At 51.1% G+C, this 12543-nt stretch overlaps 1 protein-coding gene and 1 pseudogene across 16 annotated transcripts in view, besides 1 other annotated feature; both read left to right on the top strand.

Annotated features, from left to right (window-relative positions):
* The window catches only part of ZNF423 (zinc finger protein 423), a 371756-nt gene that overhangs the window by 333309 nt on the left and 25904 nt on the right, over positions 1–12543 (top strand). For all 15 annotated transcript variants that reach the window (XM_047433809.1, NM_001379286.1, XM_047433808.1 and 12 more), the window contains 2 exons: positions 477–608; positions 2232–2347. In XM_047433809.1, the coding sequence (XP_047289765.1) occupies positions 477–608; positions 2232–2347 (248 nt within the window). The remainder of the gene's footprint in view (positions 1–476; positions 609–2231; positions 2348–12543) is intronic.
* Positions 1948–2447: an enhancer, noted in NCBI's record as "H3K4me1 hESC enhancer chr16:49557435-49557934 (GRCh37/hg19 assembly coordinates)". NCBI's record gives its function as "activates a minimal SCP1, AML or CMV promoter by ChIP-STARR-seq in primed H9 embryonic stem cells {active_cell/tissue: H9 hESC(primed)}" and the evidence as "EXISTENCE:reporter gene assay evidence [ECO:0000049][PMID:30033119]".
* On the top strand, positions 7386–8325 carry ADAM3B (ADAM metallopeptidase domain 3B (pseudogene); annotated as a pseudogene). Its single transcript, NR_144553.1, has one exon. The product of NR_144553.1 is annotated as an ADAM metallopeptidase domain 3B (pseudogene) (transcript).

Below are 12543 nucleotides of genomic sequence, written 5' to 3'. Positions count from 1 at the left end.
ACCACCAGAGTGGGGGCAGAGACATTATTTGTTTAGTTGCCTAAATAATCCTTAGAGCAAAGTACCTGGCACATAGTACATGCTCAATAAATATTTGATTGGATTTTTTAAAATCCTGGTTGGACCACCTTCTCCATCCTGTACCTCATCCTGGGTGCCTCTGCACAGTGACCCAGTCTTGGGACTCAAGCTGTTGACCATGGCCTGCACACCTGGCTGCTTGATCAGCAGGAGAAATCACAGCAAATGGCACCTCCAAGGGCCACATATTTGGAGCCGGTCCTCTGGGGTCTGTAAGCCTCTAGGGGTGAGGCCATGTGGAGCCAGGATGAGTCTTGGTGTCTGCAGTCCCTTCACCAGCCCCGGTGCTGGGGATTGGAGGGGGGTTAGTGCTGGGGTCTATGGGAGGCCTTGTGAGCACCTGTCTGGGGGACATGGCATGCTGGTCACTGACTGGTCACGGGTTTTCCTTGCAGAGGAAGGCATCAACCACGAGTGTAAGCTGTGCAACCAGATGTTCGACTCCCCGGCCAAGCTCCTCTGTCACCTCATTGAGCACAGCTTCGAGGGCATGGGCGGCACCTTCAAATGCCCCGTGTGTTTCACAGGTAAGGTACCCAGCTTGTGCCCCTCAGGGGAGAGAGATGAACACAGGAGCCCTGCCCTGTTATTGCGGGATCCCAGTGTGTGCTCTTCCTCTTTCCTTGGCAGGCCTGTTATAGACCAGGACTCCGTTGGGGATACCCTGAGGGATTAACAGGCCCTTTGCCCCACGTCCCTCAGTTCAGAGCTGACACGCGCCCTCCTTCAGTGCTCTCTGGCCTCTCCTCATCAGCAGGCTGGTTGGCACCCTCTCCTCGCCCTCTGCACACAGGAGCTAGAAGCCCTTTGTCCAACCCAGCCTCAACCCTCTGCGGCAGTTTTCCCCTCCCGGGCCCTGTGTTTGTCTCCCCGAGCCTTGAGCTCTATTCAGCACTTCTGGGGCTCCCAGCTTCACATACTCCTGGTTCCCCCTTCCCTGGCCTACCTAGCTCCCATCCATGCTCCAGGATGCAGGGGTCAAGGGCAGCTCTGCCGGCCAAGTTCCCAGCCCCCAGACTGGCTGCCGGCCCAGGCGAATGGCTGTCCCAGCCCGAGGCAAGTCTCAGGGGCTCTGCCGGCCCCCTCCTGCTGCCCAGATGGCAGCCGGTGTGCGTGGGAGAGCCTGGCCTTCCCTGCCTCCCCCGACATCTGCTGTCTGCCACGGCAGGAAGCCCACCCTGGGGAGGACGCCTGGCAGGAGGGTATCTCTGAAGTGCTCACCTCCCAGACACACAGCTGCTCTGGGCCACCTCCTGGGTGCGCTCAGGGCTGGGGCCACCTCAGAACTCCTGCCACTGGGAAGCCAGGGCTAGACCTTCTCCATGCCAGGCCCAGGGGTGTCCACTCTGGGGCAAATCCCCCAAACACACACCCCTGGGGCTCCCCAGAGCCCCTGAGCACCCTGATGCCATCTTCCCCCTCATCGCAGGAGCCCCCACCCATCTGTCACTGCCACACTCTGAGGCTGGCACTGAAGGGCCCCAGCTGCCCGTCTGCCAACCCAGGACATGGGGGCCTCTGTGTGGGGGCCCGAGGATGCTGACAACAATAAAAATAGGAATTTGTGTTGGTTGAGCAACTTCTTGTACAAGACCCTGTGCTGAGCTTATTTAATTCAAGTCTAGGCTCTGCCACTTGCTAGCAGTGGGACCTTGGACAAGCCATTTAACATTCCTGGCACCTCAGTTTTCTCTTGTATAAAATGGGGATAATAGCACCTGTCCTACAGGCCTGGGAGGGGTTCAAGAAGCTCACCCCTGTAGGTGTCTGGCTGTTGATGATGGGGACGAGGAAGACAGCATTCATTTGTCTGTGGCAGGCCATCTTTTAAGCACTTTATCAATATCCCATTTGATCCTCCCAGCCACCCAGCTAGGGACATATTATAATCTTCATTTTTTGAGTGAGGAAATGGAGCCCAGAGAGGTTAAGTGACTTACCCAGGGTTGCACAGCCACTAAGTACCGGAGCTCAGCTTATCTAACTTGAGCCTCCTCTAGTATGTGCTAAGAACACTCCCAGTAGCCCACTGTTTGGCTGACTGTACCTATGCCACAGTGATCCCTGCCTGCGAGTGTTGTGGGGGCAGCTGCCACAGGAGGCTGGGCTGGTGTCCTGAGCTTGGCCCTGACAGCCGTGTCTGTGTCTAGTCTTCGTCCAGGCCAACAAGTTGCAGCAGCACATCTTTGCCGTGCACGGGCAGGAGGACAAGATCTACGACTGCTCACAGTGCCCTCAGAAGTTCTTCTTCCAGACCGAGCTGCAGGTGGGTGCCCACATCCGCTGCACCACGCCGCCTGATGGTCCTCGGTTCCCCCGTCAGCACCGACGGTCTCAGGGTTAAGGCAAGCTGGTGGAGTCTTATGCTGGCAGGTCTGCAATCAGGGGCTGACCTCCTGGCTAGCAGGCATGGAGTTTCAGCCCCCTGGCCTCTGCCAGCCCAGCGTTCTCAAAAGAACCAACTGCCACTGGCTGAGCCCAGAGCAGGAGTCAGAAGCTTACATTTGAGGTGTTTCGTGGCAAGTCCTGTCTGCTCTTGGGGATTCCAATTTCCCTACCTCTATTGTAAAATGATATTTCACTGAGCTTTGGTTCTGTGGCTAGAAGCCCATGATGTCTTTGTGGCTGGGTCCTGGGGCTGTGTGGGAACAGGAGTTAGGTCTGGGGCCTTGGAGCCTCCAGTTTTGTCCATAAAAGCCAGAAAAGAAGAGTAGTGGTGCCCGATTGCCCCAGCTTAGAGGCAGTCACCAGAGGTCCTGAGACTGATGTGGCCCTCAGGTAAGGGACAGGGGCCTCAGCCAACTTCCTTGCATCCTCATCCCCAGCCTGTGGTAACTGAGAGGACCTTGGGAAAGGAAGCTGGTGTGACGGTCTTCCCAGGCATTCACAGCCACCTGCCTTGGAATCCCATGGGGCCCCATTTCACCTGTTACTGGTTTTTCCAAGGAACAAGATCTGTGCCCAAGTGAAACTGCTTTCTCTCCCACTGGTTTTTGCAAAAAATTCTTGCAACACTGGAGAGATCACATGCCCACCAGAAATACAACACACGTACACAGAAAAATCTCACATTCACTGTACCTGGACCATAGCATCACACACACAAAGGGAAGGTGCACGCACACAGTTCCTATCACAGTGTATATGCCCAGAGATGTCACAAAGAGTAACACTGCATCCACCCTGAGGAATACCGCACACATGCAGCACAACACTGCACCCCCAAAAGAAGGACCACACTCATGTCCACAGATATATCACACATACACATAGACGGACATGCCGAAATGTCACATACCAAGAATGAGCCTGTCGGGAAGGATATGGGTAGGTTAGGCTGCAATAACAAACCTCCTCTCGGTCTCTGTGTCCTCAACAAAAGGTTTATTTGTTGCCCATGTGACATATCCAAGCAGGTGATGGGGAAGAGACTCTGTTCATAATATTCACTTAGTGACCCAGGCCCACGGAGGGTCCATGCCCATCCACGTTTCCGTAGTCACTGAGGCAGGGAGAAGAGGGAGGTGGTGACTTCTCTACCAGCACTTCAAGCTTCCCCTCGGAAATGATGCACGCCACCTTCTCTCACATTGTGTTGACTAGAGTAAGTCCCGCGGGCATGCCCAACCTCAAAGCGGGTGAGGCAGGGAATTCCACCCTCTGCCTGGAAGGAGAAGGGAGCCCTAAGGACTCACACACACCAGTTTGGCCCTCCAGGGGGGACCCTACACACCCAGCAGCACCCTCCCTCATCCCCATGCCACTGCTGCACCTGCATGCAGCAATCTCCCACATACCCAGGTTACAAGGCTGGGGCCACTTACACCATGCAGAGTCACTTGAATGGCCACAGTGGTGCCTCCCCCTCTGGGGTTAGAGGGGCACAGCTGTGGCCTGTTGTAGGGGGCCCCCTTCTTACTGTGCTGTGGCCCACCCACACTGCCAGGCCTGGGCCCGCCTGTCTGCACAGCTGGTGGTGGCTGTTGCCTGGAGGATATGCAAACAGGCCCTTGGAGGGTGTGGGGACCGGGGGGATTCACCATTAGATGGTCAAGTCCTGTTTCCATAGGCTGGCCCCATGCCAGGGCTAGGTAGGCTGAGCTCAGGGCTGGCCCCGAGGAGCACCCAGCTGGTGTGGTGGAAAGCCTGTTTCTTTTCATCCTTACGGTGCTCATAAATTTGTGTATTGTACATGAGGCCTTTATCCCATTGTCACAACGTGGGACAGAGTTATGAAACCAATCATACAGACCTGGCCCAGAGAGGGGGTTCCACTTCCAAAAGGCCACCACTGAGCTAGTGACCCTTACCATGCCACTGCTGTCTCCCCATTGATCCACAAACTGAGCTGATGTCTCTGTGCTTAGGATGTGTGGGGCGACAGCTAGGCGTTGATGCCATCCAAGAAGCCTCCCTGCTCGTGTGCTGGATGCGCACCCTCTCCCAAGTGCAGTCCATGCAGCCGCCTTATCCTACCTGCCTTACCTGAGTGGCCCAGCTACCAAAATAGGCCTGGGTATCCTGACAGAGGAGGCTTTCTATAGCCCAACAGGTCAGGCCTCTTTTAAACCCGTGAGTGCATATAAACTACGATTTATTTACACTTTGAACTTGCTCAGCTCCTGCCTGGCTCGCCTGCATTGTCCCAAATGCCAAGAGGTCTCTTCTCTGATGGCCTCAAGATTATTCCCAGAGAAGGTTTCCCATCCTGACGTTTTTGAGCTTCATTGGTGTCACTGGGCTGGGGGCCTAGCTCATAAGTGCAGAGGTGGAGGGAGGCTGCTGCTTTCAATCTGGATCTTGCTTCGATCCCACCTATCTCGAGCTGTGGGCCACACTTGACCTGAGAGCGGTTCATGTGAGCTGGTGGTTTCCTGGGTCATCCCGTTAAGCTTTAAGTCAGATCCTCAAATACTGAGAAACCGCTAAATTACAGCCTTAACGAGTCACTATTTTCTGCAATTAATGATTTTAATTATAGACCGTTTAAATACGGAAGTGTTGTTGCAATGCCAAATCTATGCAAATAATGGCTCTCGTTAAGTAACTTGAATAGCAATTTTCTCGTTTTTGAGAGGAGGGTTTTTCAGGCATTGGAGTGTTCATTGTCCCTACACAGAAGCTGGGGCTGGAAGGCCCTGGTTGGGTGGAACAGGCAAGTGTGCTGTTGTTTCTTGGAATGAGCTGGGGGTTTGGGTGGGGCAGTGGGAGGCAAGGCCAGCTGGAGTTCTATCCTTGCTGGTTTCTTGTGGCCTTGTGTAGTTTGAGGTTATGCACGGAAATTCCAGGCACCTGGTATTTGCAGGCACAAGGGACTATGGGCTGAGAGGTCTTGAGAAGATTCTAGGCTTAGGATTGAGCTCACTGCAGGACCAGGAAGTGCTGCTGCAGGAATAGAAGTTTAGGAGGTAGAACTGAACCATGACAGGCTTGGTCTCTGTCAACATTGACATGTCTCCCTCCAAACGTAATGTTTTCTTAGGTTGCGTTAACAGGAGCACAGTTGCCAGTATAAGGGAGGTGTGAGTCCTCTTTGATTCCAAGTTCGGAGGGCTCTGCCCAAAAGACTGAGATTAATTCAAAGGAGTTTAGACAAACTGTTGCAAATTCACAACCGAATAATTAGGAACATGAGAGGGAACTAGCTTTCCTATTCATTTGTTTGAAGCAAGTATGTGGAGGGCCCATGATGTGCCAGGCCCTGTTTCTAGCACCTGAGAAGACAGTGGTGAAAAGATGAAGAAATACCCACGGGGTCTGCATTCTAGGGGATTGATGGGCACTTTCCAATAAGAGCCAATGACATGAAAAAAATAAAACCAAATAATGGGCTAGAGCATGCTGGGAGGTTGAAGTCAGACACTCCTTGGTAAGTGTGGTCAGGGAGGGCCTCCCCGAGGAGGTGGCATGCAAGCTGAGGCCCGATGGCATGAAGGCAGTATTGTGTGGAAGAGAGCCGTGAGTGCAAAGGCCCTGTGGCCACTGGGTGCCAGGGCTAGGATGACAGAAGGCAGAGTGCAGCTGAAGCACAGTGAATTGGGGCAGAGGCAGTGGAGCCCAGATCATGGCAAGGTTTTCAGGACAGTGAAGGACTTTGGATTTTATCTCCATCATGATGGGAAACCAAGCAGGGGACAGATATTATCTGATTTACACCCTGAATCAAAATGTAAGAAGTTTGCTTTTGAAAGACATGGTTAAGAGAATGAAAAGTCACTGATTGGGAGAAAATATTTGCAAATCACATATCGAATAAAGCACTTGTATCCAGACTATATGAAGAACTCTCAAAACTCCATAATGAGACGGGACACAGAACAACTAAAAAATGAGCAAAAATCTTTTGGCAGATGTCTCACCAAAGAAAATGAACATCATTAGTCATTAGGGAAGGGCAAGTGAAAACCATAGCCTGATGCCACCCACATAAATGAAAAACTCACAATGCTGAGAGTTGGTGAGGGCGGGATAGGAACTTTCACACATTGCTGGTGGCAGTGCAAGATGGTATGGCCATGTGACAAAATATTTGTCAGTTTCTTATAAAGTTAAACGTTCATTTACCGTTAGACCCAGTAATCCCACTCTTAGTGTTTACCCAAGAAAAAAAGGAAAATTTACACTCACACCAATACCTCTACATGAATGATGATAACAGCTTTGTCATGGCCCCAAACCGGAGGCCTGCTCGTTGTCCCTTATTTGGAGGATGGGTAACAGATGGGGTCATGTGTTACATTGGTACAGGTCATGTGTACATTCTCAGCAGTAAAAGGCAACTGCAGATACATGTTACAATGTGAATGAATCTTGTTTTGTTTTTTAAGTGACAGGGTCTGGCTCTGTCACCCAGGCTGGAGTGCAGGAGTGTGATCATGGCTTACTGCAGCCTCAACCTCCGGGGCTCATGTCATCCTTTCACCTCAGCTTCCTGAGTGGCTGGGACTATAGGTGCACACCACCACACCCAGCTAATTTTTTAATTTTAACTTTTAATTTTATAGGTGGGGTCTCATGATACTGCCCAGGCTGGTCTCAAACTCCTGGGCTCAAGCAATCCTCCCGCCTTGGCTTCCCAGAGTGTTGGGATTACAGGCGTGAGCCACTGTCCCTGGTGCCATGGATAAATCTCAAATGTCACATGACAAAAGCCATACTCAAAAGGTTCCATGCTGTATGGTTTTATTGACATGACATTCTGGAAAAAGGTAAAAATATATCGCCATAGAAAACAGACCAGTAGTTGTCAGTGGCTGAAGGTCGGAGTTGCAGGGAAGAAATAGGGGAGACTTTTTTTTTTTTTTGCAATGGAACATCTGAGTTTTGTGTAACTGATGTGAAAGCTGCTGATTTAGAATACTGCAGCAATAAGACTAGATATTGCTTTAAAGGAGAATGCAGAGATAGGGACAGACAGTGCGCACAGTTATTTGGAAAATTTTCTAAGTCTGCTAGTGTTCTGTGTACAGAAAAAGTGAATTTTCTAAATGACAAATTTGGAAACTGTGGTTCCCGTTGTCATTTTTATGATATTCTTTGTGGAAAGATTGTCACTGGACACATTCAGAAACAGTATCAATGACAGACTTTGATATACAATATACTTACCTTGGGGGTCATGTATGTTTGTCTGCACATGCAAGAAATGGTTCAAAATAATGGGGGACCTATGCAGAAGCTACAAGTGCATGTGGTCAACACAGGTTATGTAGATTCCAAGGATGCAAATATCTTAGTGACATAAATATAACAAGATATAACATAAATTGCAGAGAGAATAGGGCTTGCAATGAACTTTTCCATTGTCAGTGTGATCCTGGTTATGCTCCTCCAGATTGTGAGCCGCCAATATCATCACCAGGAGGAAGTGTTAATGATGGATTTTAGCTTACGGTAGAAAAAAGTGTACCTTGTTTCCAAAACGACGTGCTGCTCCTAAAAACAATGGTCTTTTGATCAGTTTCTACATTTCTTTTTTACCTTTGCTCATTTTAATTGCTATTGTTAGTCTTAAATGGAATAAAATGAAGAGATTTTGGAGCAAAGCGGGAACAGTAAGCAGCATATCTATCTCAGAAGACAGCAGCAGGAACAACAACGAGTCACAGAGTTAAAGTAGCCCAAGTGATAACTTCGAAGCCATAGGGTGGAGAAAGGATATTACCAAGAAACTCACCATTAACTGGCCTGATCTAACAATGAAAAAAAAAAAGTTTTCTCTCATTTTGTTATGGCTTAAAGCTTTCAATTTCACAAAACAAAATAAATCCTATGACTTGAAAGCAAGAGAAAAAGAAATAGGGGAGACTAAGCTTTGTCCATATACCTGTACCCTCACCCACATATACACCTGCCCACGCTCACCCCACACCTTGAAAACCCAGGCAGTAGGGGATCCAGTCTGACCTCGAGGTGCTTCCAGGAGTCTGTCCTAAGTCTGTTTAACCAGGAGAAGACTTGGATGGATTGCAGAAGAAATGCAGGGACAGTTGTCTTCGAGCATTTTAAGAACTCTGGGTCCTGGAGGGGTTCTTATTGCTTCAGGTGGCTCCAAGACTTTTGGCAGTGGGCGCCAACTCAGAACAGGGGTTTTGGTCCTGGATAGTCATGGCTCAGGCATCACTCTCTGCAGTTGGCGCAAGCTAGAAGGGAAATTAAGCTGTAGGGACATGAGTGGATTTTGGATGCTAAGAGCAGGAAGCAATGTTGGGTTTTTGGCAGCCCTATTCCCGGAGCCAAGTGTCACTTAAATAAGGCAGCTACACTCTGTCTTCTCTAAGACTGCCTGGTCCCTGCCTTCTGCCTCTTTCTGGCTTTTATTGTCCTCTCTCTCTACAGCCTGACTTTCTGGGCTCCTCTGTACAAGGAGGAAGGTGGTCAAGGTTCCACAGCTCCTGTCAATTCTGCTAAGACAGACACCCTAGGTAGCTCAACAGAGAGGATTTAGTGTGAGGATTGGTGACACAGGTAGCCAGAAGGAACACCCAGGAAACCCCAGAGATAGTGACAGCGGTGGCAGCCAGCCCTCAGGCAACAGGTGCTAGATCCCTGGAGGGGGAATCTGGTAGGTGAGCCTGGGTCAGCTGTCCACCCTGCTCCAGTGAGCTGTGGCTGGGGGTAGGATCATATGATACAAACCAGCAAGTTCAGGGTGCTTTTCAGGGAAGGGGTGCATGACCTGGATGGACACTGAGCATTTGCAGTATGCGGGAAAACTGTCCAGAAATGGAAAGTGCTGAGGTCCCTGTCGGTAGAAGTGTGCAAACAATGCACGTGTCTGAAATGCTGCCAAGAGTGAAGCAGGGAGCGGCCCAGTCTTTGTGAGGGCAGCTCCGTATTTAAAACCTTGCTCTGTCATGCACCAGCCGTAAGCCTCAGTTTCCTTACCTGTAAGGCAGGGGTGTGAGTAGTTCCTACTTAAGAGTTCAGTTGCAAAAGGCCCTTGGCACAGTGGCTGGCACACAGAGCATGTAGCAGACGCTGCCTGTGATTATTATTGACATTGACTTCTGGGCAGTTTGAGGATCAGATGGCTTTGGGGATTCCCTCTCCTTGGAGTTTGCTTTGCTTTCATGGTTTCCAGCCTGAGTTTGAACAAAGTGAGACTCCAAGTCCTTCCTTGTGTGGCATCCCACCAAGCCTCAGGGCTGTGGGCACAGGAGACCCCACATTGGGGCATTGGGAGGAGCCAGGTGCCCAGGGCAGTGAGACGGGGCATAAAGGGCATGGAATGGAGGCCAGAGGGCCGGGGCTTCGGGTCCCCCTTCCCCTACTTCTCTGAGCGCCTTTGACCTGGGCTCTTTTCTTAGGACCCTCTATTTCTGAGCCACGTCCGGGCGCCGTGGAGGGTGGTATGTAGATTTGACTGGGGGTGCAAGACAGCCCGCAAATGTCAGAGCTGTTGGCCTTGCATTCCCAGCCTCAGGCCTCAGCAGATGAAGGCCTGGGGCCCTATCGGCCCCATGCCAGCGGTTAGCCACCCTGAGGGGAGGGGTCGCCTCTGCCCACCAGCCCAGCTGTCTCTGCATCCCCATGGGCACCTCTGTGCCCACAGACACTGGGCACGGATGGTGCCTCCATCTCCCCATCCTAAGAGCCTTGCTGCTTCCTGTTCTTCATCCTCACTGTGGGGATGCGTGCATGAGGGTCATATGCGGCTTACCAGCCATACAGGGCTGGAGTTAGACAGTGGACAAGCTCCCCTGAAATTGTACCAGAGACAATTCTCATGGCCTTCACCCCTGGGCCCTAGGTCTGTGCTGCGGGCCAGGCTCTGTTCTGAGCACTTTGCATGGATTGTGTACAGCCCTATGAACAAGGTACTCTCATCCCCATTTACAGATACAGAAACTGAGGCTCTGAGAAGTTAAGCGGTTTGCCGAGGGTCATTTGCAAATGGCAGAGCCACACATAAAGCTGGATTGTCTTTGCCACCAAGGCAAACAGAAACCCTCCAAAGTTTAAATAAATTGCCATTTATATGAGCTAATAGATTTAAATGAGGCCTGCAGTGCTGAACTATAAAAAGCTTTCGTTGTCAGGGGACCCAGAAACTATTTTAGTAGTTGGGCCAAGCAGGTAGCACAAGTAGCAGTAACAGGGGATGCAAGAAAAATTGCTCCTGGGTGAGCCCAGGTGGGAACGCCATGGGGCCTGTGCGCGCGGGGCCAGGGCTGTGCATGGCCACGTTTGCCAGGCTGCAGCTCGAGGCCAGGACCCTGCAAACCCTGTTGCTTGCAAATGAGCATCAGGATGGGTTTGGCTTAGGCTGGGCTTGGGGAGAGGAAGGATTCATTCTCGTCACGGAGATAGGGACTTCCTAAGACCTCAGGTTCATGGTGCTGCCACCTTTCTCCCCTTTATGACTTGCTTGGTCCTGTCATGGGGGAATAGAACTTGAACTAGAGAGATGTCTTTTTAGACATAGAACTTCTGGGATCTTGGAGCTGTGGGGCACTGCCTGCCAGGGCATGTCAGAGTTCACAGCGCGTGTATGTGTGCACGCACACATGCACATGTCCTTGATGAAGATGGTTTTGGGGTGTTGGACCAGCGCCACGCCCTGGAATCTTGACTCCCTCATTGACAAAGCCAGGGGCTGCAGGAAGTGATTCCGTGAGCCGGGCCCGCGGTGGCAAAGCGGCCAGCCCAGCGTTGAGCGGGCGCATTTAAAGGATTAGCTCATGCTGTTTGCTTGTGTGTGCCTAATCATGCTGCTTCCAGCTAAATGATTACAATTGATTAAAAGCAGAGCTAGGTATTCTAACAAGCAACCCGGAGCCCTTTCGATAGGGTGAGCCGGGCTCTGCCAGGCAGGGTCCTGGTACCCGGCCAGAGGGAGAGCTCTCTGAGACAGGGGCGGGATCTCAGCTCCCTTGGGACCCTTCCTTCCTAGCCCTTGAGAACATTTGATTCAGCCCTTGCCCTGATTCCATTTACTGAGTACCTACTCCCGGCACCACCTCAGGAGCCTGAGACAGAACTGGGAACAAGGAGACAGGGTTTCTATTCTCATGGAGCTGACATGCTTTGGGAGACACTGATGATAAGTCAGTAAATACATGAACTAGGGGATTTCAGAATGTGAAAACGCTGTACTGTGATGGAGAGTGGTGTGTGTATGTGCATGTGTGTGTGTGTGTGCGTGTGCGTGTGTGTGTACGCATGTGCGTGTGCATGTGTGTGTGTGTGTGTGTGTGTGTGTTGGGTGGTCAGGAAAGGCTGGCATTTCAGCTCAATCCTGGAGGTTGCAGAGCCAGTGTGGGGAAGAGCTGGGGGATCCTCCAGGAGAGGGAAGAGCCAGTACCAAGTATCTGAGGCCCAAGCAGATTTGGGGTGTTCTCAGAACAGAATAAAAAGGCAGAGGGACTAGAGGGGCAAGCAGGACAGACGGCCACTGCCTTCCTGCATTATTCTCCTGGGCTGGCCTCGCATCGCCTACCCAGTGAGATCAAGATGGGGCTTCCTAGATGCACGTACACCTGCCTATCTGCCTGCAGGAAGTACCCTTTCTTTCTCTTAATGCATCAGCCCAGCTCCAGTGCCTCCTCCCCTGAGAAGCCTCTCGGATTCTCCTTCCTTTGGTTTCTCCAGCCCTTGGTTTAACCCCCCTGATTCCGTTGGCCATATGGATTGTAAGTCACTACGTCTACACCAAACTCTCCACTCTGACGTGAGTTTTTGGAGAGTGAAGACACCCTTTGCCATCCGTCCGTCCATCCATCCATCCATCCATCCATCCATCCATCCATCCATCCCCATATGTGTTAACATATTTTTTGAGCTCCTGGAAAGTCGGAAAGAGAACACAAGCAGGAAAGGAGGAAAAGGAAGAAGGGGAAACCCACAGATTCCGGGAGCCCATTTTTAAAATCCCTGGTCCTTATAAGATGGGTAACCAAAGAGCCAGTTTCCTTGTCTCTTTGTACTGCTGCTGTTGGATCCAGCCAGATAATTATAACT

Source organism: Homo sapiens, chromosome 16 (assembly GCF_000001405.40).
Source record: "Homo sapiens chromosome 16, GRCh38.p14 Primary Assembly".
In the NCBI taxonomy this organism is placed as follows: Eukaryota; Metazoa; Chordata; class Mammalia; order Primates; family Hominidae; genus Homo; species Homo sapiens.
This window is presented reverse-complemented; position numbering and strand designations above follow the sequence as displayed.